The following is a 26,543-nucleotide window of genomic DNA, read 5'->3' on the forward strand; positions in this document are numbered from 1 at the left end:
ACTATGCTATGTGTGTATAAAGCACTTAACCCAGAGCTTGGAACACACTATGTGCTCCATAACTATTAGCTAATGTTATAATCACTGCTTTTACCCTGGGACTTACAGTGAATTGTCACAACTCTCCAGCATCTGCAATATTCCTACTTAGCTGCTTGCAAAGCCAGAACACCTGTGTCTTCATGCCCTCTCCTTTTTGTGCCCAGCCCCTGTCTCAGTGATGAGCAGGACAGCATGCATGGATCATTAACTTACTGAGACTGAGAATGTCAAATTCAAGACCTGTTGAATAAGGTCAGTAAGTAATAGTAGTTGCTGTATTTCTCATAAGTGTTGAAAAGGAATCCTTACAGAAATACATTACTTTAATCCTAATGTATTTTGACTTCTTCAGGATGCACAGGTGTCCAGGGAACTGTAGTGTCAGTATCTCTGAGACCTTAGGAGAACTTCTTTTGAATCTAAAGGAGGGGGAGTTGAAAGGCATCTCTATTATAGCAAAAAGAAATTAGAGGGCTGATTCATCCTATTCTGTAGGGAAAGCAGAACTCTGCTCAGAGATCTTGAAGTAAGTAAAACATGGTAGTTACTTTTGGAGGAAAATAAAGTACCATCGAATGTAGAATCTGATGGTTTCAGTGAAGGTAATAAATGGTGCTTTGATGACAACTGTATTCATTAGACATATTTGTGGCTTTCCTCCTCCTTTCTCTTGCAGATAAATTCTCACTCAGGCCCTACAGAGATAGGTGCGTGGTTTTAGAGATCATCAGATGTGGGTTTAAGATCACTTTTGCCACTTCCCATATGCGAGATCTTGGGCAGGACCCTCACCCTCTCTGAACCTTGGCCTCTTCTTTCTGAAATGTTGGTAATTGATATGGTTTGGATATTTGTCCCCATCCAAATTTCATGTTGAATTGCAATCCCCAGCATTGGAGGTGGGACCTGGTGGGAGGTGACTGGAGCATGGGGACAGATTTCTCCTAAATGGTTTACTACCATCTTGGTACTGTTCTCATGATAGTGAGTGAGTTCTTATGAGATCTGGTCGTTTAAAAGCACATAGCACCTCCCTCTTTGCTCTGTCTTGCACCTGCTCTGGCCATGTGTTGTGCCTGCCTCCCTTTCACCTTCCACCATGACTGGAAGCTTCCCGAAGCCTCCCCACAAGCAGAGCAGACATTGGCATCATGCTTCCTGTAAAGCCTACAGAACCATGAGCCAATTACACCTTTCTTCTTTTTAAACTACCCTGTCTCACGTACTTCTATATAGTGACGTAAGAATGGACTAATACAGTAATACTCTTACACTTATTGTAGAGATGTTGTGGGACAACATAAGACAATTGTAAACACAGTCTGTGCCTGCAAGTTCAGCCAGGCACTCTGTAGAGATCAATACTGTCCCTAGGATGCTGTGAATTTTCATATTGGTACGTCTGAGCCTGAGTAACACTTGGCAACCAGAGTGAGCCCCAGAACTGGCTCATGTGGAGGTCAGTGACAAACCTTTGACATTTGATACAATCAAAACCAAGCCGCTTTGTTTAAAATGCTCATCAAATACCTACCATGCACACTGTGTATATAAAAGTCATTGTCACAAAAGCCCTTTTTCAGAATCTCTAGCTTGCCATTTCTCTCAGATTTCTTATTGTCCTCTGGGTCAAAAACACTGCAAAATTTCATTCCTTTACCACAGCAAGCTTTTATTTCTGGTGTACACACCCGAGTGTTATCTGGAATGTGGCTGCTCTAAGCTGGGCCTCTGCTGGATTTAACTCTAGACTATTGGTTGAGCTAAGGTCTTCTTCCTGTGTCTCTTATTTTTCTAGGGATAGCAGAAATGAAAGAGGCAAGTCCAACCACACAAACATATCTCAAGCCTTTGCTTGAACTACATCCAATAGTACCTGCTGGTCAAACCAAGTCACAAGGATAACCCAACTGTAAGACCATGGCAAGGTGATGAATGTCTACAAATACCGCAAATGGGTGAAGAATTGAGACCATATCTCATTCTGTCATACCTGGAACTCCAAATTTCCCAGTTCTTTTAAACTTTTATGAGTTAGGTACTTTCAAGTTGTGTAGGACAGACTCACCTGGTTTGGGTGAGTTAAGTCTATGGAAAGGGAACAGAAAACATGTGAGGAAACACTTATCCCATCTATTCCATCTTATCTTGATGGAATTAGAATTTAGGGATTCACTTTTCAGGGACAAAAAGCATTCAGGAAGGTGCCTCACACAAAATGGCTACTCAGGAAATGTTTATGGAGAGGACATGTGAATCAGTGAGGAGCGGCTGTAGCACTGGTCACCTTGCCGTTTTCCCAGAAGTAGCCTCCATTGCTCCCTCCTCTGTGGTCTTCAATATTCTCATGATTCAACTTCCCTGTCTTCTTTGGTTCTTCCAGTTACTGCTGTATCCCTTAAACTCGCCCAAAAGGAAGGATTGTGTTGCATTAATTAGCTGTCTTTCTATCTACTGGGCAGAGATCTTATGATATGCTGCCTCATTGGCATGAATCAGCCAATTTTTGTTTTGTTTTGTTTTGTTTGTTTGTTTGTTTGTTTTTGAGACTTTGAGATGGAGTCTTGATCTGTCTCCCAGGCTGGAATACAGTGTCACGATCCTGGCTCATTGCAACCTCCTCCTTCTAGGTTCAAGCAATTCTCCTGCCTCAGCCTCCTCTGTAGCTGGTATTACAGGCCCCTAAAACCACGCTCAGCTAATTTTTGGATTCTTAGTAGAGACTGAGTTTCACTATGTTGACCAGGCTGGTCTCAAACTCCTGACCTCAGGTGATCTGCCCGCTTTGGCCTCCCAAAGTGGTAGGATTACAGGCATGAGCCACTGTGCCAGGCCATGAATCAGCCAGTTTTAAAAGGCTTCTTTTTAAGTTGCTGGTCACTGGTTGAATCGCAAAGAGTGTAAGGACCATGCAAGGAATTCCCTATGGCTGCATTCTTCAGCAAGGGTCTGTGGGTTTTGCTATTGCTTAGAGACTCAAGGATTTTGTGTTGGGTTGCCCCATCTCTTGCTTTGTGATTCTGCCTCTTGGGATTTGGAAAGGTAACCTGGATCTAGCACAGAGAGGTCTTTCTCCCTTTGAAGTGTTCATCATGATCTGATGAGTCAACAGTGCCTCGTCTCATTGTTTGCTACACTAGCTGGCTGGAACACTACCCTCCCAGCAGAGCACTCCCTGCCAGAGCATGATACTGCCACTGCCAATTGAAGCACGGCTATGTTTTTACATCTTGTAGCAATAACCCTCCTTCCTCAATCATTGAAGACTGATCAGCTGGGCCAAAACCAAAGCAATATAACCCAGGGTCGTGTGTGTACATGCATATGTGGTGTGTGTATGTGCACATATGCATGTAGTGTATATGTATGCACATGTATGTAAGAGCACGCACACACGTGTTCTTTTTAATATAAAGAAATGCCTTTAGAGAATGAAATGCACTGGGGGCATCCAAGGTGAGGAGACTTGAGGGAATGTTTTTTGTTTTTTTTCTTGGCAAATCAGTGAAAGATGGGCAGATAAGTATGGTGAACCCCTAGTGTGAAGTAGAGAAATTGGAGGCTGGAGTTATAGAGGCAGATGTTGAAGAACGTGGAAGCTTCTAGAAGAGCTGAAAACGTCCATAGACTGAGTAATCGGCCAGGCACAGTGGCTCACACATGTAATCCCAGCAGTTTGGGAGGCTGAGGCGGGCAGATCACCTGAGGTCAGGAGTTCGAGACCTGCCTGGCCAACATGGTGAAACCCCGTCTCTACAAAAATACAAAAATTAGCTGGGCATGTTGGTGGGTGCCTGTAATCCCAGCTACTCTGGAGGCCCGAGACAGGAGAATTGCTTGAACCCGGCTGGCGGAGGTTGCAGTGAGCCAAGATCGCACCACTGCACTCCAGCCTGGGAGACAGAGTGAAACTCCAACTCAAAAAAAAAAAAAAAAATGCGAGTAATGAAGGGCAGATTCAGGACCGGGACTGGATGCTCACTCAGTAGGTTGCTGTGTCCCGCAAGGTAGGAGGTGTTCTGTGGGTGAAAGGCAAAGACAGAGAGGACATCAGGTCAGAACATTCCAAGTGAGACTCTACGTTCCTTGAAGACTCCATTGTCTCATTTCTTTTTATATCTCCAGTGCCAAAGACCTAAGTGAGCCCTCTGGATATTAGATAAATAAATTAACTTATTAAAGGATGAAAGAGTGAACTACTAAGTTAATTTGAAATTGAAATATAGGGTAAGGCCTGCACTTACACAGAGAAAATGAACTTTCAAAAATGTACAAAGCAGACAAAGGGGAGACGGAGAGAGAGAATGAAGACTGAATGGGTATCCAACTGATACCTGGAACATGGCAGTGTGAGTAGCTGAAAAAGGAAAAGACCTCAAGGAATGGGGCTGTCTGTGGGGCCTATATTTATGTTGACATCACTCACAAGTACAAGTCTGCATCCCTGGGTGTCCTCAGACAAGCATATAGTTTGCATATCGTATTACCTTTTGTGTTAGTAATCACTGATTTTGAATCTTAGCTGACTGTGGAGGTGCTGTTCTGCCTTTGACATGGCAGTGTGAGCTGGAGAGGGATGGGGAGATGAAGAAGCCACATGTCCCAGGAATATCAGGATCCTATAAACTTATTCTGGGTAAGGCAGTGGCAAGGGTGACCAGCAAAGTGGTGCCTGAAGGCTGGGAATCCAGTCATGTCAATTTTCTTGTTTGTTTCTCTCTGGCACCTTCTCTAGGCCCAGAGCCTAGATGAGGCTGTGTGGACCAGTGATACAATGGAGACTTTAATTTTCTCGATTAGTGCAGAGGATGAAGAAATCTCAGCAGTCATGCTGTATTCAAGGTGCAGGGTATTGCCTGCTTCTGTTCTCAATGCTGGCTCTCGTAGCTTAACCCACCTATACAGAAGTGACTTGTTTTCATCCCCGTCCTGGCCAGTGACTCTTTAACCAGGCAATGTGATTTACGTTTAGATGTTAGTTTAATCCCTTTGTTTCTTAATGAAGCTGCCCTTGTTAAAATCCCTGGGACCTAATCATAGAAATTCTCTCTAGCCCCACGTCTCCGTTCAACAACTGCTTAGCAAATTTCTCATCAGTCCCATTTTTTTTTTTACCAGCTCCCCTCAATAGCCATTTCTTGTCTCCAAGGTTTTTTGAAGCCCAGAGGCTTTTCTTGTCAGGCAATTCTCTTATTTCAGCCCTGCAGTGAACTATCCATATACTGTATCACATCATGATTTTTTTTTTCTCTGCAACCTCTCCCTTCCCCTTGAAACAACTTACCTTTATCTGTGTTCCAACCCCAATCTGTTGCGTCTAGAAGTCAGAGAGCCAACTGCCAATCATTCTAGAATTCAGCATTTTCAAAGTTCATCTTTGAAATGGATAGCCTCTTGTTCTGCAGAAAAGCAAGGATCCTAGAAAAAACATGCAAACTGCATTTCAAGGAGGATGGCATCATCTTTTTGTTTCTCTTGGAATGACTCAGGAGTGAGGAAACAGGAATACATTACTGTGGTTCCCACTCATCTTGGCCTACCAATCTCTCCCATCTTTCTAGGTACAGCCCATCTTGTGATGGGCTGGGACCTGGGCCCCTCCTGGACTTACGTTCAGGATTTCAAATAACTTGGATGGCAGTCTAGCCAAGGAAGCCAAAAGCTTCCATCTCTTCCTTGTCGTTTGTGTGGGTTTTTTGGTTTGGGTTTTTTTTTTTTTTTTAGAGACAGAGTCTCACTTTATCATCCAGGCTGGAGTGCAGTGGCACAATCACGGCTCACTGCCGCCTTGAACTCCTGGGCTCAAGTGATTCTCCCACCTCAGCCTCCTGAGTAGCTAGAATTACAGGTGCATGCCACCAGGACCAGCTATTTATTTATTTATTGTAGAGGTGGGGTCTTGCTATGTTGCCTAGGCTGATTTTGAACTCCTGGTCTGAAGTGATCCATCTTGGCCTCCAAAGTACTGGGATTACAGGTGTGAGCCACTGTGCCCCACAGTATATCTTTTTAAAATGAAGACTTTCTTATCAGATTTCAGCACCAAGGCTCATACATATGTTGACTCAAGAATTAAAGGGCTTTAGTTTCATGTGCTGGCACTAATCAATGGCTCTGGTTTGAGAACAATTTTGAAACCATACTCGTCTCATTGGAAAAGAGGGCAGTAGTGGTGCCTACCAGAGATAGGGCATGAGGAAGCAGTAGTAGCATCCCTGCCATGCACCTGCCATCCTTGATTTGATAAAGTCCAGAAGCACATCTGATCACACCATCTTGCACAATGGCCTTCTCCCAAGCAACAGTGACAACTTAGATGGCCTGGAAAACTATTTCAAACTAATAGCAACATGTCTACCAAGAGTGCATTATTAATGACACATTCAACTGAAAAATTGATCACACGCTCTTAGGTATTACATGGGTCACATTTGCAATAATTTTGGTTTTTACTGCTGAAAGGCAAATTTAAGGTAAAAATCAAATACTTTAAAAGTATATATCTTAATATGCCTTCCTCTTAACATTCATCTAGTAAGGGGGGAGATGTAGAATTTTGATATAAATTGGCCAGCCTTATGTTGATTTATCTTTAACACAGATTTCAACTCCTTCACTTCAGTTGCCATGAACTGCAAGGCCCTTGTTCAGTCTGGCTTTTCATCTCTTTCCTGCCCAAGTCCAATTTAGCTCTTATAAAACAACCAGACTACTGCAATCCCTCATCTCACGGCAACCTCCAGGACATAATATATAAAACTTACCCTTGACATGTGGGTGGGTCAAATAAGTGATCAAAGGGCAAGTCATGATCTGAAAGCATGGTAATCTCAAGCAACCGCTGATGTGAACATTGCGTGTGGCACAGTGAAACTCAAAGGACTCCTGATTTTGGCAATAAAAACGATTGTGTCTATAAACTGAGAGAATTATAGAAGTTTGAGCACAGCTGATCTTAGCCTTGAACATAGTTGAGGAAGAGGGAAGGAGAAATTTAAAACTTTAATTCTGCCAATTTAACAAAACCGCTTCACATCATTATCTAGGATGAGAGTGATATAAAGAAATTTACCAGAACTTTTTCCATTAATCAAAAAGAAGGTAGTGAATGAGATGGAGGATCAATCATGTCAAAAATTTCAGAAAGGGATGAGGAAATAATTTCTAGCAAATTATATAATAAAAGTATGTTTCCACTGAAAGGAGCATTGAGGAAGAAGAAGAGTATTTCGTAGAAGTGAAACGGCACTGATTAACCTCATTAAGGACATGACTTCCTCATACTTTAATAGGAAGTGGTAAACTTCAGAATGAGACCAGCACTATGTTGAAGTATGTCCTAGTCCAGCCTCTGTTGTGAGCTAGCTGGGAAAGCATGGCCTTATCTGTTTCAGTATCCTTATTTGTGAAATGAAGAGCTTGGCCTGAAATCAGCAGCTCTCAAATTTTCGTGGGCATCAGAATCACCAAGGATGTTTGTAAATGTTTTTAAAAGTCAATTTTCAAGACTCCATTAAATGGAGATTTTGATATATACAATCAGAGTTAAATATGTGTATATATAAAAAATATCTTTAAGCTAGAGTCTCTTATCAGTGAGACTTTGGGCTCTACGTGCAGAGAGACTGGTTTACAACCAGTCAAGGGGCAGGGTGGGGATAGAATTCAGAACTTTAGAGATAATCTAACATTCTCAGAGACTAGAATTCTGCAGTGTTCTGGAACAATACCCCAAGGTCAAAAAGCTTTAACTAAATGTTTGTATGATCAATAAATTGGTCTGATTTAAAATTAGCCTATAAAGACATTTTTTAAAAGCAAATGCTTAACTTCAATACTACATGACAAGAGGGTGATATACAAAAAAAAGTTACTATGTGGTTCTTGGCATCAAGCAGATTAAAGTCTACTTTGAAATAAAGACCATAATAAGTAGTTGACCCCATAAAAATTAAGCAATAATGGGAAGAAGTTCAGAGGAACAGAAAATCAATTCATGCTGAGATGATAATCAAATTATTGGTAAAAATGAAGATGCTGGTTAGGCATGTCCTTGGCTAGAGAAGGGCTCAGGCTTGCAGGTTTAATGACCTTTAGCTGAGACCACCCCACGTGTCCATCTGCCTCAGGATACTCTAAGTCTCGTGGCTGAAGCAAAGTCTTCCTTAAACAGGGCTTCCATTGGGCCATGCCAGCTATTTTGTTTGTTTGTTTCCTCAAGACTTACCAGGCCCTATCTTCTGATTCCACCTTTGATCTTAGGTAGGTTAATTCAGTTAATATATTACTAATAACTGTCTACACTCTTTCTGCCCTCGATATCTGTTTCCTTCTGCTAACATTTTATGACTATTCTTTGTGGGTTAATTTCACATTTTATCTCCCAAAGGCAGCCCAAGTTCCCTCCTTTCCAGATGTCTTGGGCTCTCCCACCGTAGAGCATTGGTGCTGCCTATACTGTTGTTCTTGATTTCAGAGAACGTTCTACATCATACAGATGCTTACGCTTATTAAACTACTGATTTAAGTTGTTGCAGGTTTTGAGTTACCACTGGCTTTTGACTCAGTTGAAAAAAAACAAAGAATGGTCCAGGGTGAGAGAGGTGTGTAAATTGACTCCGTGAGGACTCTAGGAACTGATCTTTGACTTCCTCGCCAGCCTCTTTGCCAAGCCCAAATTCATCATCATTGTGAAGTAGCATTGGGCCATGTTTAAGAAGTTTTCTATAAGAATTTATTTTGGATTAATAGCAAATAATTGCAGCTGAGTCAGCATTAAAGACATGTTATATCAGACTGTGTCTGCTAGTTCAGAGGATGCTGCTTCTCGGATGGGACTTAGCTGAACACGTGTTACACCTCTGGGGAAGTGTCTACAGCATTGTACCAAAAAACACAGAAAACAGGCCACTGAAACAAACACCAGCAGACATAGCATTGGCAGGATCTAACAAGCAGGTTTTCCTGAAACGTCATTTTGACAGGGTTATAGTCAGGTGGAATCTCTTAACTGCAGTGGTCACCTGGTGCTTCGTTCTTTGGTGCACAGAGAGGGGGCTGCAGAGGATTAACATGGAAGAAGCAAGCACTCCCCCTCCGTTGTTACCCCTCCCTGCAAGATCCTGAAGCCCTGATTCTTTCCCCATCATTATATCCCTTTTCAGGAACGGAAATGTCTTCTGCAGAGCCAGCCCATTCCCTCTGGTGCTGGTCTCAGGGGAAGTACAGCATCTGGCTCCCACCCTCCATCTAATTACCCATCTGTTTGTGGGGAGGGAAGGGATGTTCTATTCCCCTTCTCTTCCCAAACATTTTAATGTGCTGATGCATGAAGACGACAGCAGCTGCACCTCAGAACCCATCCTTTGTGCATCACACTCACTGGCTTAGCTTTTCTGTTCAGTTCTTGGATGGGCCTCTTTATAGCTAGAGACCCACGTCTCTAACTCCTCCTCATCCTGACTTAGTACAACCCTGGCCCTTGCATTAGACTGCTCCAGATTCCATGTTGCTCTCTGATTCAGCATCATCAAGCCTCAGCGGGGTGCCTGAGACCCCCTACCTTTAGGGAGGGGCAGGGATTTCCCTGCTCTGCTCTTGGCCTAGGGCTTCTATCAGCTCCAGCAAAGAGACCATGGAGAGCGTAGCCTTTCATCGTAATCTCCCAACCTTTACTCAGCTAATGGCCCCTTTGGTTATTTCTCTCTCACTCTGGAAGCCATGTTTAGAAAGAGCTGATATACTGAACAAATTGCACTTAATAAATATTCACTTATTTTCCCTCTTTTTAAAAATTAATCAAGTTCTTTGTAAGGAAGAAAAACGTATTAGTCTTTGACAAATGAAACTACCAATCTCCATTGATACCTACGTTGATAGTATTCAAGCCCCAAACAAACACTTCTTAGCTGGCTCAGATGATCTGGTTAAGGGGAACTTTGTCAGTTTAGTTCAGCTTTGTGAAATACTGAAGGATTTCAGACCACTATTAATACCTGAGTAAAGTGGTTAAGAGAATAACTTTGGACATAGAGACAGATGGGTTTCATTTGGCCACATACTAGCTACATGACCTCGGGCAAGTTTCTGAACTTGATGCGGCTCCATTTCTTCATGGGTAAAATTGGGGTAATTATACTATTGATCCTGTAGGATTATCCTGAAGATAGAATGCATAATGTTTACAAAGCACTTGGTACAAAGAGGCATAAAGCAAGAAGTGAGTAAATGTTAACTGCTGCTATCTTTATTCCCGTCATTTTAATCATCACTATCAATTATCATCACAACCCAAGTGGCTCAGGGATGGAGAGACCCCAACTAGGACCCTCTCTCCATTCTAGGGGAAACATTTATTCAACTCAACTGTGGCCAGAACTCATAGTGAATCTCGCTATAGTCATCCTCCGTTTTGCAACAGCAGATTTTGCTGGGCTCGTGGTCACTCAGCTAAAGACTACTTTCTCCAGCCACCTTGCATCTAGGTATGACCATGGAACTGGGTGATGGCCACTAAGACATGAGTGAGCGTGATGTTAGCACATTAATCCATGCCTTTGAAAGGCAAGAAGTCTATTTTCCCTTCCTGTTTTTCCCTTCTTCAGCTGAAACGCAAACGTGGTGGTGAATCATCTTGAATTAAGCTGAAAAGGGTAACATGGAAGAGATGGCATGGCAACAGGATGCATCCCCAATACCATCAAGCCACCATTCCAATTCTGGACTGCCAACCTAGACTCTTAAATAAGGGAGAAAAAAAGTCCTTTTTGCTTTAAACTACTGAATCTGATATCACCTATTATAACACCATGGTGTATCGTAAAAACACACCAAACAACTATTTTCAAAATAGATGTGATACTTCTCCCCAGTTATACAACTTCTGGAAGCAGGAAGCCACTGCATTCCCCCACCCAGCTTGTCATGGTTTACTTCTGATTGGATATAACTAGATGATAACAGGGATCACGCTGCATCCATTGAGGAGAAAGATGATTCAACCCTCTCGCGGGCTGCTGGGGAATCGATATCGTTTAATTATGAGAAAGTAAACTGTGTTTACATTTTACACAGTGGCAAGAGGAAGGTCAAATCACAATCCTCATACCCTTTATCAAAACCATGCATCGCTGTTTGTCAAGTGAGATTCAAAATGGGATGAACTTGGAGAGTTGCCATCTTCCTGTTTTCTCCCTTGTTTGTTCATATGGCTGTGCTTTACAAGATTAAAAGGCTTACCGGGCAAAAGCATAGCAGAAGGAAGTAAAACCTTCGGGCAGATGAAATAATTCTTCCATTTTAGGAAAAAAAGGCAATTAGTTATTTGAGGTTTTCTGGGTGGGGCAGTGAGTAGAAGGTCATTATGTTCCTTTCCTGTTGTATATCGAAAATCAGTTGAGAAGTAATGAAAATGGTAAGAAAAAGAAAAAAAAAGAGTAAACCCTCTTCCTCTCCCAGTGGCCTCTACCCCATGACTCATCAGCTTCCTGAACTGGAACAACACTGAGCTTTATGACTACAGAAATGTCAGCTCTGAGCACAGTGCATACTTCTTTGTGTGAAGATCTTAGGCGGTTGTGCAAAAGCCAGCCCAGGACCCAGCATGGTCCTGCTTTATCTCTCTGCCGGGCTAGTCTCCATGTTCATTAGAAATGTGTGATTTCTTGACAAGCACTCTTTGGATTTGCTGCAGAGTCAGGTGATACATTGAAATCAGCAAAAACATTAATGATAGCAACAACAAAAACGACCTTGTTTAAGTTTTACGCCTTATAAGGGGGCAATGTTAGCCTTGTAATAAAAATGAGGTAACTGCAACTTGGAAATATTAGGAAATTTATTTAGGATATCTTAGAAAATCATAATGAGAGTGATGATGATGATGATGGTAGTGATGATGATTATGGTAATGATAACTATAGTGATGGTGATGACGATGGTGATGGTGGGGGTAATGGTGATGGTGATGGTGGTGATGATGATAGTGATGGTGATGGTGGTGATAGTAATGATTACGGTGGTGGTGATGATGATTCTAGTGATGGTGATGCTGATGGCGGTGATGGTGATGTTGATTATTATGGTAATGATAATTACGATGGTGTTGTTGATGATGGTGGTGGTGGTGGTAATGATGATGGTGATGGTGGTGATGATGATGATAGTGATGGTGATGGTGATGATGGTGATGGTGGTGATGATGATGATGATGATAGTGATGGTGATGGTGGTGATGGTAATGACGGTGGTGATGATGGTGATGGTAGTGGTGGTGATGCTGATGGTGGTGATGGTGGTGATGATGGTGATGATGGTGATGATAGTGATGGTGATGATGGTGGTGATGTTGATGGTAGTGATGATGATAATGATGGTAATGGGTGGTAAAGATGATAATGCCTTACTCTAGGCTAGATATTGTGCTAAATATTTCACTGACAAGCAAATGTGTAAACTCACAGTGCTCAGTATTGTGATTGACCCTAATACGTTTTCACTAATTGTTGGCTTCAGGGCTAGGACTAGAGTGAGGTGAATGAGGTACTCTCTTTGGGTCCAAATTTAAAGGGATACGAAAAATCTCAGTAATTAAAGTAAATAATATTTAATGCAATATTTTATAAAAATAAAAATTAGTGCAAAAATCCATGGTAAACAAAATGTCAACATTTTAAATAAAGGTTCTGTACATGCACAATATATTCTATTTACCTTCCCCTAATCCCACCCAGTTGTCTCAGCTAATGGCAATCTTATTTTATACTTGATGAAACAAGCCTGAGCCCAGGTTGTTCTTATCCCTGTTCTATAGGTGAAAATACTGGGCACAAGAGATTTTTCCACAATCACATAGCTAATATATGGAAAAGCTGGGATTTGAGCTCAGCTATATCTAACATAGAAGTTCAGCAGTCTATCTGGCTTCTAAGGTAAGTTTCTGTCACAACATTAAATATTCAGTATCATTTTCTGGGCTATTTTTAAATGGTAGGGAGTCAAAGAGATTAACTACCAGTTGCAGCTCTTATCAGGCCAACAATATCAGCTAAGGTGAATCTGATACTAGTAGAACTCTAAGAATGTGCATTTATTAAGTCACTCATATAAATAATATATTTAACCTACTTAGAAACTCTGTATAGAAGATATCAGTGTTGTATTTCATAAATAGAGAAAGAGAATCTCAGAGTTGAGCACTCACAGTCATGGTCAATTCATGGCAGAGTTGGTGACCAGCTCAAATTTTCTAGGTTGACATAATCCTGTCCTTTCTATGGCTTCAAAGCCATCCACGTTTGTCTCTTGATCCTGGAACTTTTTATATTTCGTCATACAGACCTTCCTAAGATCCTCACTTTGCTTGTATCATTTTCCCTAGAATAACTATTTTCTAAAACGCATTAATGCATTGATTTTAATAACATCTTGTGTCTTATGTAATTTTAAAAATCAGCATATATTGACTGAAGACATTTTGACAAAAGAGAAAGAAAGAACATAGCAAAAAAGCATTTCCAACTTTCATAAATAAGCAAGAGTATCACTTTCGTGAAGTTCTTTTCTATTTTGTTTTGTCCTGTTTTTTTATAGTGACATGTAACTTTTTCTTTTTCTGGACAGCCTGTCCTCTTGGTGATAATAAAGCATGATGATAAAACAAATGAGATCTCACTACTAGACTTTTCTGTCCAGGAAATACTCTTGACTTCATCTGTCCTCACCTCTGCTTGGACCTTGTTTCATCCAATACCTCATGCCACTCTCAGCTTTCCAATTTAGATCCTTCTCTTGGGTCATTCTCCTCTGCTATGAATTAGCAGACATTGATCTTGTCCTCTGACAAGTAGTTATCAGCAGTTATTCATAAATGGATTTAGTATGTTCCATATCCTTAGAATAACATATACATATAAGCAAAAATTAAATATAATCTTAGGGGTTTCACAGGCTCCCCTAAATCTCATTCATGTACGCCTTAAGCCTGACTTAAGAAACGCTGCCATGTAATTTCCCCTTGATCCTTTTTTTTTTTTTTTTTGCAGATACTGCCCCTTCTCATTTTTAACTTTCACCAACACTTTTCTTGTTAAAGAAGCTTTCATTCTCTGCCGCTGTAATTTTCCTTACGCACATGAATATTTATCTTAATCAAGTTTCTCCTCCCAAGAACATCCCTTCAGACACCAAAACGCGTATTCTTCCACGTTCCATCAGCAGAAACTTTCCTTCATTTGATACTTGAAGTCCATCGCTCTGGTGAAAGCATCCCTCTTCTTGTTTTTCATTATGTTACATTCTTTGGACTTGTCCTCTTATCTATGTACCTTGTAACTTCCATTTAGCCCTCTTTTCTCTTTCAACTTCCTTATTGTAGATACTCCTTAATGTTACTAGCATTTAAGTTGTTTTTTTCCCCCCTCCTTTGTCAGTCCCAAAGCTCCTATGGCTCAACTGTTGGTGCACATAACCTTAGGGAGGTGATTTGAAGAAATTTTACCGAAATGTTGTATGACAAACTCCCAATAACAGGATTTAAGAGAATACCACTTGTTCTTACCCCTTCAGTTCTCTTAACAGGGAAGAAATATCATAACCACATAACACATGTTTATATATATAGATATGCCCTTACATCAAAATAAATTCTTGATGATACCAAGATACGTGTTCAAGGCAACCATAAAACACTGGAAAAAAATCAATCAGAGGTGAATTTTTTCTTATCTTATGGTCAGGCAGAGTTTAAGCATGACACCAAAAGTTAAAATAAGCTGAAAATTGATATCATTGGCTACATAAAATTTTAATGCTTCTGTACAATAAAAACTGTATAAGTATTAAACAAATGACATGTTTAAAAACACAGTTTGCACTATATATTCCGAAGGGCAAGGACCCCTCTCCAGCAGCTGTCGTCCAGCACATATTTAACGTTTCCATATATCTCTGTCCTCATCAATAAGATGAGGCTAATGACGCTGCCTCTGCGGTCCTTCTAAGAAGCAGATGGGATAAAAGAGTGTGCACCAGTAGCTCTAAACCCGGGACAATTTCACCCCCTGAGGGCATTTGGCAGTGTCTAATGACATTTTTGGTGGTCATGCTGGGGGATGCTGCTGGCATCTTGTGGGTAGAATTCAGAGATGCTGTTAAACATCTTGCAATGCTTAAGACATCCATGCAGAACAACAACAACAAAAAAATATCCTGCCCAAAATGTCAATAGTGCTGTGGCTGAAAAACCCTGGTCTATACAGGGTGGAGGATGTTGCGGAGCGTTTGGTACCTGGTAAGTGCTCAGTAAATGTCAGTCATTTTTACATCTTATTGGGCAATTCTATGTAAATGCCTTGTCCCTAGGAATATCCACAGGTTTAGCTTATTTTTTTTTTTTTTTTTTTTTTTTTTTTTTTTTTTTTTTTTGAGACAGAGTTTTTCCTCTTGTTGCCCAGACTGTAGTGCAAAGCTGCGATCTCGGCTCGCTGCAACCTCCACCTCCCAGGTTCAAGCAATTGTCTTGCCTCAGCCTCGCGAGTAGCTGGGATTACAGGCGCCCGCCACCACGCCCAGCTAATTTTTTGTATTTGTCGTAGAGACACGGTTTCACCATGTTGGCCAGGTTGGTCTCACTACTGACCTCAGGTGATCCACTCACCTTGGGCTCCCAAAGTGCTAGGATTACAGGTGTGAGCCACCTCACCCGACCCCAAGGTTGTCTCTTTTTTCTTTTCTCTTTTTTTTTTTTTTTTGTTTTGTTTTGTTTTTTGAGAGGGAGTCTCGTTCTGTTGCCCAGGCTAGAGTGCAGTGGCGCAACTGCAAGCTCCGCCTCCTGGGTTCACGCCATTCTCCTGCCTCAGCTTCCCAGGTAGCTGGGATTACAGGTACCCGCCACCATGCCCGGCTAATTTTTTGTATTTTTAGTAGAGACAGGGTTTCACCGTGTTAGCCAAGATGATCTCAATCTCCTGCCCGCATGATCCGCCCGCCTCGGCCTCCCAAGGTTCTGGGATTACCGGCGTGAGCCACCGCGCCTGGCCATTTATCTGTTAAGGACAGAACATGACTTGAGGGACAGCTTACTCATTCTATGCCTATTTGCTTTTCTCTCTTTCCTCAGCGCTTTTCACTCTCAGCTACCCCTTCCAAACCTCAGCTGATTTTACTACCATTCAGATGTATCACTTGTCTCCTGAAAAACACATAGAGCTTCCTTTGTGAATTCTTACTGCTCTACTTACCTGCTTTTAATCTGTTTATGTGAGAATGTTGTCAAGATCTTCTAGTAGATCGTAAGTCCCTTGAAGAAAAAGATGACTTTATATTTATTCCAAAAAACCCCTGTGGTGACCACACAGCATAGAAATCTGCACAGAGCAGGCAAGTAACTTACGTTTGCTTCGCAATTCCATCTTCTTAAGTCGTTCTTGCAATTGAGAATGCATTTCTAGCCTTCTATTGGAGCTGCTTAGCACAAGTAGTGTTGCATTGGTGTGAATTCCTCCAACCCATTTAAATGAGTTTATTGTGCATTCAAGTGAGGGTTATTCAGCATGTTCAAGCAAATAGTGACCAATAATGATAATGGATATTTTTTCATCTCTTCCTGCTCCAATGGGCCAGTATTCAAAATGCCATTGCTCACATGAAAACAGAGCTGCCAGACCGTGTCCAGGGCCTCAGCCAGGGAGCTGCCACTTTCATTTTAATTTAAGAAAAAGAGAAATTGACTGGGAGGTATTTATGTAAATCAGTAGAGTTCTAAGGAGTTATCTGGCAGCCATGTTAATGGATGTGCCACTCTGAGAAGCGAATCTCGCATTTTGCTTCTCTTGTCAGAAGGGGTTCTGTGTGACCATTTACACCTACGGATGATTGGCTGTGACCCAGAGGACATTTGATGTAAAGGATATTTTGTGCATGTCAATGAGTCCTGTCCAGGTGGTGGGATACAGGCTCGAGACACATGTTGGAGAAGATCACTTTTGACTGCTGGGGAGCTATGGGAAGCCCTTCCAAATGGGCAGAATGTGCAATTACTATCTCAGTAAATTTGTCTCAGGAGAGCTGTACACCTCAGGAACATCATATCATAGAAAAGGGAAGACAAAAAAGGAGCTCACCTTAAAAGTTCCAACCACATTCCAGGGACTGTTTGTATTTGACTCATTCATTTATTCAACAAATGTGAACTGAGCACTTCAACGTGCCATACTGTCTTCTAGGCACTGAAGATACAACAGTGGATATGATGGGTTGAATGTCGGCCCCAAAAAGATATGTCCACATCCTAATCCCTAGAACCTGTGATTGTGACCTTCTTTGGAAAAAGGGTCTTTGAAGATGTAGTTAAGAATCTGATAATGAGAGGAGCCTGGATTATCTGGGTGAGCCCTAAATCCATTGACATGTGTGCTTTTAAGAGACACACAGAGGAACAACACTGCAGGAGGAGGAGAAGGCCATATGAATACGGAGGCAACTCTTGGAGTGATGTGGCCTCAAGCCAAGAAACACCTGGAGCCACAGGAAGCTGAAAAAGGCAAGGGGTGGAATCTCCTCTAGAACCTATGGAGGAAGTGTGGTCCCATCAACATCTTGATTTTGCAGCTTCCAGAACTGCTAGAGAAAAATTTCTGTTGTTTTAAGCCACAAAGCTTATAGTTTGTTATAGCAGCCACAGGAAATTAATACAATAGGCTAAACAGACAAAAATCCCTGCCATTGTGATGTGTTCATTCTCGCTTGGTGCAGACAGGCAATAAACAAATAAAATGTATTCAATGTTGGGTTGTGATCAATGTAACACAGTAACGAAGCAGAATAAGCGGGGAAGAGGTTTGCTTGTGAGTGGCATGATCATCAGGAAAGATGCTACTGAGAAGGGGCGTTCAGAGACTGGGAGGAGGTGAGGGAATGTGCCGTGTAGGTATGTGGAGGAAAAGCTGTCTAGACAGAAGGGAATGAAACTGCAAAGGCCGTGACACTGGAGTGTGCCTAGTGTATTGGAGGAGATATAAGGCAGCAAAGGCTGACAAGACCAGATTATTTAGGGCTTTTACTTCAATTTACCCATTGACTTAACACTTATCTATTGAGCATGTACCAAATATATTGTTTTACGACATTCTTGCAAAAGCCTGGAGAGGTAGGTAACAAAATTCCCACTTTAAAGAGGAAAACACTGAATACTGGTCCAGCATGACTCAGCTCATATGTGGTGGTACTAGAATAGGAATCTTAATTTGATGCCAACCCCAGTGTCCTTTCCCCAACACTGGAATGACTTATGTAAATATTTATCTCATTTGTAATTTGTCTGTGTGTTCAGTCCCATATGACAGTCTTGATAAGCCCAGCTGGCCTCTGAGGCCAATGCAAATATATTTTGAGCTGAGAATTGCTCTTGGGCGGTGAGAGGACTGTAGTTTGGAAAAGGTCAAGGGCTGTGGATTGCCATCTCTCATGGTGTCTTCAGAATGTTTCAGTAGCTTTGTGACTCCAGGTAGCATTGCATTGATAATTTATCTATTTAACTGGCTTAAGTGGGTTTTTTTTTTTAATTTTCTATCTCAAAAATCCAGGCTCATAAATAGGGACAGTATGGAAAATGCTGTATAGGGAGAATAAATAAATGTATAATCAGGTTAGTAACATATTATCATTGATGCAGCTACTGAGCAAGGAAAAGCAAACAAAGAAGGAGCTTTATTTCATACCCAAGCAAGTATAGCTCAATTGCAAACCTCTCAGACTTGAATATATCACATTGGTCAGTGCATATCATGTCCTGGAATGTTACAGAAAGCAGTAATGGAGAGACAGGTGGATGAACTAAAACTTAACTTACCTCTCTCTTCACATAGCATTAGAGCACAGAGAAGATTACTACGACCCTTGGGCATCTGTGACTACTCCATTCAAAGGTTCCTTAGAATGTTTGCTGGAAGCAGTTACAGAAATGTGAACAGGGCTTAACCAGTGTACTCCATACCCTAAATAATTCTGTATAAATAAGAGCTTACATATCTATGATGCCTCTCTGTCACTTCTTTTATATTCTCCTTTAGTTTGTTTTGGGGAAAATTCTAAGTGGATTTGCTCCATGTAAATACTGTACTTCCTTATCGTATTAACAAAGGAAGAGGTAGGAGAATCAAGACAATCGAATGTGTCAGACTAAAGTAGATAATAAATGCTCTTTGGGAAAAAAATATTCTCAGTCAATGACAGGGAATTCTGATTTGATAAGGAAATTTTCTTGGGTTAATGAATGCAACTGTAGAATACTGAGTCCGACCAGCAGAAACCTACAGCCCCAGGCCAGCTGAATCCCATTCCTTATACCGTGAGTATCTGTGTTCCCTTGCAGCGGGTTTTGTAGGAGTCAGGGATAAAGATAGGGAAGCAGGAGGAAAGGGTCATAGAATGCTGCCAAAGGCTCTGGAGGCTCAAAAGGAAGAACTTTGAATTCACAAAACACTATGCCAGCTCAGACCTGGGCATCCAAATCAGTTAGGATATTGGCTAACAGCTGTAATAAAGAATGCTACAAAAACAGAAGCTTAAACCAAATAGAATTATACTTCTTCCTCATAAACCACTCCAGGGCAGCAAGGTAACTCTTCTTTTGAATGTCATGCAAGGACCCCTGTTTTGTTTTGTTTTGTTTTGTTTTTTTCCCAAGACTGAGTCTCATTCTGTCACCCAGGCTGGAGTGTATTGGTGTGCTCACTGCAACGTGTGCCTCCCAGGTTCAAGCGATTCTCGTGCCTCAGCTTCCCAAGCAGCTAGGACTACAGGTGCCCGCCACCACACCCAGCAAATTTTTTGTCTCTTTAGTAGAGTTTGTCTGTGTTAGTCAGGCTGGCCTCAAACTCCTGACCTCAAGTGATCCGCCCACCTCAGCCTCCCAAAGGGCTGGGATTACAGGAGTGAGCTACTGTGCCACCCAGCCAAGGACTCATGTTTTGAAAAGGCTGTGGATTATCATCTCACATTATGTCTCCAGCAAGTTACAGCAGCTTTGTGATTCCAAGTAGCATGGATGGAGATGGCACTTGTCATCCCCAGGGTGGTATCCTCATTCCTACCTCCTGCACCATAGCCAGGCTGTAGGAAACAGACTGGGAGGAACAGGAGAAGAGCATCTTCCTTTTAAAGGACATTGACTAGAAGTTTCTCCTAATGCTCCCTTTCATTCCCTGTTGAGCAGAGCTGAGTCACATGGCTATGGCCCGCTGCAATGGAGGCTGGGAAGTGTAGTTTCTAACTAAGTAGCCAGGTACCTGAATAAAACCCAGAGGGTAGGAGATGAGATTCTATTATTACAAGAAGACACAATTTCTGCCAGGGCTTTAACCGGTGGCTCTACCCTTCACAGCTGGACATTGCTGGATTTTTGGATGATTATTTCATTGTCTCCACTCAAAGATTAAGTTTGGAAAATAGGGAATTTTTCTACCAAAGCATAGGAACTCCAGGCCCCAGCCCCTCCTCACTCTTTCTCCCTGTTCATTCTCATCTCTTTCCAGTTCCTTACCTCCTGTAACCTGTGGGCATACTAAAGTACCAAGGTAGGCTTAGCTGCAGGCACGGTACTTCCATGATTCAGTGCCCCGCCCCCACCACTGAGCTAGGCCACTCCCACCAACAACCTCAGGCCTTCAGATGCCCAATTTCTGTGTAGAGCTTTGAGCAGTGTTTTCCAGTTGTGAAGGGCAAAGGAAATTCTCCAATTATTTGTGTGTTCATCTTCTCTACCTCCCAGGTAAAAAGGAGTTGTCTCACCATTATAGCTTGTTTCAGAAACAGTGTCAAATTCTCATCACAGCTCATGCATGCCTTCTCACCAGAAGTACCCTAATTGGTTCTCTGACTCCAACAAGAGAGCTAGGCTTTTTGTTTCTTTTGCTTTGTTTTGTTTTGATTTGCTCCTTTAAAAATGTTTATGGTGAGCTCAGTTATTTAAAACAATTCCTGGCAGAGGATTTAAGAGGCCTGGCAGAAATTATGTAAGCTTGTACAGTCATCTTCACTGATAATGAGTAAATCAGATAGCAGACATTAAAAGATTAAGCACTGGTGTTTGGTTTTTTGGTTGGTTGGTTTTGTTCACTTGTTTTTAATGTTGCAAAAGTCCTTCATATGTCATTGACAATAGAATTTAAGTATTTTTGAAATGTACTCAGTTCAGATTCACCATTACATTTCATGTCCTTAAGGTTGGTAGCTTAAGATAGCTTGTGCTTCAGTTGCACAATACTGGCGTCAGCTCTCCTTTAACTCAAAGCTTTCTGGTAATTTTCATCTACTGGCAGCTCAGTGGGGGCATTTTCAAGTCTCAATCACATCACTTTAATACATAAACAAAAAAGACCCAACACAATAGCAAATGACCATGAGCTTAGTGCCATCTTGAGTGTATGCTTTTAGACCCCAGTGATGATACAACCTTTCCTTAATACAGAGAGGAAAACAATTTTGATCCGAGAGGCTTTCTCCCAGGTGCATCTGAAAAAACGTTCAGATATGTCTCCTGAATGGTTTTGACTAACACAACTTACTTTCCCCCAGAATAGCTCCTCTCTAAAAAATGCCAAAGCTTGCCTTTCAGGGACAAATCAAAGGCTAAGCCTGAGGATGATGGGGTGACTTGAAAAAGACTAGCCAAGCGCTTGACTGCTCAGTGCAGCCTCGATAACACCATTCTTGGTGGTGCCATTTGCTCCTTGTCCACAGCCCATATCCCAATGAGGGTTATTCACTTTTGTAACCACTGGTTTCCCTCTGATAGTGTCTAAAGAAGCAAATAATGATGAAGTGAGCTGTACCTCCAACAGAGTTTGAAGCTAGCCAGGAGCCCTTACTGATGTTTAAAAACTGGTTCTTTTCAAAATTGTGGCAACTTTATTTTCAGAAACAGGTTTCATCCCAATAAGTTATTTGGATGTTTTAGAATAGAATAACGCCATTTGTTGAAATTCACTGAAGTAAGGAACAATGTAATTTGCCACTAAAATTTTGCACATTTCATTTTTCTTCAAAACACCCAGTTTTGATTTTTTTTGTTTGTTTGTTTGTTTGTTTGTTTGTTTTTTTTGAGACAGAGTTTCACTCTTATTGCCCAGGCTGGAGTGCAATGGCATGATCTCGGCTCATCACAACCTCTGCCTCCCGGGCTCAGGCGATTTTCCTGCCTCAACTTCCCAAGTAGCTGGGATTACAGGCATGCACCACGCCCAGCTAATTTTTTGTATTTGTGGTAGAGACGGGGTTTCTCCATGTTGGTCAGGCTGGTCTTGAACTCTCGACCTAAGGTGATCTGCCCACCTCGGCCTCCCAGAGTGCTGGGATTACAGGCATGAGCCACCGCGCCCAGCATGATGACTTAAATTCTAATCATAGTGATGTTATGTTCATTGACACATTACTCTGTGCTAGGCACCGTGACAGGTGATCTATGAATGCTGTCTCATGTAGTCTTCACTATAATCCATGAATTATATATATTAACATGAAACCCATTTCACACGTGAGGAAACTATGGTTCAAAATGGCAGTTAGCTTCTCCAAGGTTATATAACTCTTCAGGTTTTATCCAGAATCAAATCTGAGCTCTGATTCCAGAGTTCTTGCTCTGAACTCTATTGCTTTCATGATAAATTTCCCTAAGGGCTAAAAAATACCTCGTAAGAAAAATGTCTTAAGGCCGGGCTCAGTGGCTCATGCCTGTAACCCCAGCACTTTGGGAGGCTGGGGCAGGTGGATTGCTTGAGTCCAGGAGTTTGAGACCAGCCTAGGCAGCATGGCAAAACCCTGTATCTACTAAAAATATTAGCTGGGCAGGGTGGCTTGTGCCTGTAGTCCCAGTAACTTGGGAGGCTGAGATGGGAGGATCACTTGAACCCAGGAGGCGGGGGTGGCAGTGAGCTAAGATCACACCACTGCACTCTAGTCTGGGCAACAGAGCAAGACGACTCTGTCAAAAAAAAAAAAAGAGAGAAAAGAAAAATGCCTTAAAATTATTATGCATGCAACTTTTTCTTTCTTTCTTTTATCCATAGCTATACTTGGCCAAACAACATTAAGTCAGGTTATATTTGTCCTTTTCCTCAATTGTTCCTACCTACCTACCGACTTACTTGGCTATTTTCATTCATCATTAAGTGATTGATGGATCATAGTTGCTAAGAGAAGACACGGAAATGAAGGAAATCAACCCATTCCTTCATTGATTCATTATGTTTAGAGAGCTACCATGTATGAGGTATTTTCCAGGACTTTATGATACCTTAAGCTTACATTCTCGTGAAAGAGGCAGACAATAAATAGTATAAATAACAAAAACATACTATGGGATACGTTTTAATAATAAGAAGTGCTAAGGAGAAAAAAAATAGCAGAGAAATGTCAGGGTAAACATGTATTGAAATGTTAGATGGGCTGTCCAGGAAGGGGCAGATAACAAAGGTGACCTTTGAGTAGATGCCAGAAGGAAGTTAGGAAGTTATGCAGGGGAGCCTTGGAAATGTGGGGGAATTGCACTGTAGGCAGAAAGTACAGCAGATGCAAAGGCCCTGAGGCGGAGAATGCCTGGGGGATTGAGGAAGAACTAGGAGACCAGTGGGGCCGAGTGACTGAGTGAGGGTGAGAGTAGCACAAAATGCGTACAACAAAGTATGTTATGGAGAAGGCTGTAGGTTAGAACAGGAACTTTAACTCCTAATTAGGTGGTTTTCAGTAGACGAGTGACACAAACATAATGTTATACTTGGACCTTTGCTGTGTTGAGACCACTGGGTGTGGGAGATGGGTGGATGAGGGATTGGGAAATCAGTGAGGAGCTTACCACCGTAACCCAGGCAGAAGATCATGGTGGCCTGTGCCAGAACGAGGCCTTCCTCTCTTTCTCCCTCCTTCCTTTCATCTTCACAGATTATTCTATATTAGTCCATTCTGACACTGCTAATAAAGACATGCCCAAGACTGAGTAATTTATGGAAGAAAGAGGTTTCATTGACTCACAGTTCAGCATGGCTGGGGAGGTCTCAGGAAAGGTAGAATTATGGTGGAAGGGGAAGCAAACACGTCCATCTTCACTTGGTGGCAGGAGGAAGAATGAGAGCTGAGTGAAGCGGGAAGCCCCTTATAAAACCATCAGATCTCGTGAGAACTCACTATCATGACAACAGCATGGGGGAAACTACTGCCATTATTCAATTCCACCCCCACCGGGTCCTTTCTACCCCATGTGGGGATTATGGAAAGTATAATTCAAGATGAAATATGGGTGAAGACACAGCCAAACCAGATCATAGTCCATGTCTACTTCATTCAAGAGAATGAATGACTGAATGACACTTAATTGGGTCTTTTGATATTAGCATCCAGTATTTTGTCATCTTCTGAGAGGGGCTACTTCTGGAGACAGTGACACAGAAAACCAGTGCTCTTGATTTAAGCAGAGTGGATCAGTAAGAGGTGTCTCTTTCATTTGTTTAGATTATGATATTTATTCAAAGAGAGGAGCAGTGAACTGTGGTTGAGTTTGTTATTTTAATGAAATTACACTTGCAACTATTGTAGGTGTCTTTCTATGTAATGGATGCTTTACATTCTCTCACTTTTTTTCCTCCAGACAATTCTAGACAGCAGGCATCATGATTCCCATTTTATAGATCATCAAATTGAGGATCAGAGATACCCTGCAAAGTCTCATATGGCTGAGTAGCAGTACTCTTTACATCTGAACCCAGGACCACTCTGACTCCAAAGCCAATATTCTCTCTGCATATTTAATAGCTGTTCTTTTTAAAAAATTGTATCTATTAGTGCATATTTGATGGTGGATAATGTATATTTAATAAACCCACTGAGTCATGTAGCTGTACAAGCATTTAGGAGATTATGCCATCTAGGAAATTAAATATTATCAAGTGTTGTCACACTTGAGCATGAACAAATACAGACTGCTGGGCTCTATCCCCAAAGATTCTGATTAGAATGGCTCAGGCCGGGTGCAGTGGCTCACGCCTGTAATCTCAGCACTTTGGGAGGCCAAGGCAGGTGGATCACCTGAGGTCGGGAGTTCTTGACCAGCCTGGCCAACATGGTGAAACCCTGTCTCTACTAAAAATACAAAAAATTAGCTGGGCATGGCGGCACACGCCTGTAATCCCAGCTACTCAGGAGGCTGAGGCAGGAGAATCACTTCAACCCAGGAGGTGGAGGTTGCAGTGAGCTGAGATCACACCATTGCACTCCAGGCTGGGCAACAAGAGCAAAACTCTGTCTCAAAAAAAAAAAAAAAAAAAAAAAAAAACAAGAATGGCTCAGGTAGGGGCCAAAAATCTGCATTTCTAACAAGCTCCTAAGGCTGCTCATGCTGCTGATCCTGGCACAGCACTTTGAGAATCCTTGGTCCACGCCAATCCCATCATTTTTGCAAGAACAAATTGGAGGTCAGAGAGGTTAACACTATTTTCAATGATCAGTTAATACCCCTCCCACCTGCATTAACTGTAAGAGAAAGCTTGAATGACAGAGATGCACGACTGTCAGAAATGGAAATGTAGGGTTTTTTTGGCCCCTTTGCTTGTTTTAATTCAAGAGTATAAACCATAGGTAATGTTGTGCTCTCACTTTCTCCTGATTTATCTCCTTTTGAGCACTTAATGAAGAGGAACCCCACTCATTCACACACACACATTTTATTTCTCCTGCCCTTTTTCTTTCCTTTCCACTTTGAAATTTCTGTTGCACTTTGTAGTTGTCCAGAATATTTTCAGAAATACCTCCTTGTGGGTGAATCTGCTGCAAACAGGGCTGATGAAGTCCCTAATGGTTGTTACCCAGAGCCCTACTGAATCAAAAGAAATACTTATTTTTTCTAAAAAAGGAATCAGTGGTGGGTTTGTGAACCTATGATTAGAAACATCCTGCGGGGACATCTACTTGTTCATATTTAATGTCATTTACTAGTAGTGGAGCTTACGTGCAGTTGGTTGTAGCAAACAGCTCTTTGGTTCTCCCCATTCTTTAAGGCGAAACTTAAATGTAATTTCTTAGCATTTTGTGGCTGAAGCTCAAACCAGATGGCTCCTTCTTTTCTTTCCAGAGCACTTAGTTCACACTTCTAATGCGTAGAACATGCAACATCGTCGCCTAATTTTAAATGGCTTACTCACTGGCCAGAGTCATGATAAATAAAGATGGTGTGGAACGTTTCTTCTGTTTCATGCTCATGGAACACAGCACAATCTTTGGGGCTCAGTTTACTGAGTATGAGACAGCAGGACAAAGTAGTAAGGGGTGTGAGCTTCGAAGCCAAGCAGGTTGTTTGGAGACTAGGTTTTTCTACATCTACCACACAGCTTCACTGTAGGCTCAGTTTCTCCCTCTATTAAGTGGAGAAATAATAGTAATATCACACAGAGTTGTAAAAAGCTCTTAAAATGATGACGTCATGCTTGCAAAGTCTTAGCACACTGTTCAGCTCATGG

The 26,543-nt window shown here is 41.7% G+C and overlaps 1 protein-coding gene and 1 long non-coding RNA gene across 9 annotated transcripts in view, besides 1 other annotated feature; one reads left to right on the top strand and one right to left on the bottom strand.

Moving 5' to 3' along the window:
* LOC101928417 (uncharacterized) overlaps positions 1-5,499 on the bottom strand; it is a 37,069-nt gene extending 31,570 nt beyond the window's left edge. Inside the window, exon 1 of the long non-coding RNA NR_110937.1 lies at positions 5,327-5,499. This is a non-coding gene — a long non-coding RNA (uncharacterized LOC101928417). The remainder of the gene's footprint in view (positions 1-5,326) is intronic.
* CDH13 (cadherin 13) overlaps positions 1-26,543 on the top strand; it is a 1,173,672-nt gene that overhangs the window by 357,831 nt on the left and 789,298 nt on the right. The gene's annotated exons all lie outside the window — the stretch shown is intronic.
* Positions 21,643-21,826: a silencer, noted in NCBI's record as "fragment chr16:83040047-83040230 (GRCh37/hg19 assembly coordinates)". NCBI's record gives its function as "represses an EF-1alpha promoter that drives an FKBP-Casp9 reporter gene in an ReSE screen in HepG2 liver carcinoma cells {active_cell/tissue: HepG2}" and the evidence as "EXISTENCE:reporter gene assay evidence [ECO:0000049][PMID:32094911]".

The sequence above is a fragment of the Homo sapiens genome, chromosome 16 (assembly GCF_000001405.40).
Source record: "Homo sapiens chromosome 16, GRCh38.p14 Primary Assembly".
NCBI classification, from domain to species: domain Eukaryota; kingdom Metazoa; phylum Chordata; class Mammalia; order Primates; family Hominidae; genus Homo; species Homo sapiens.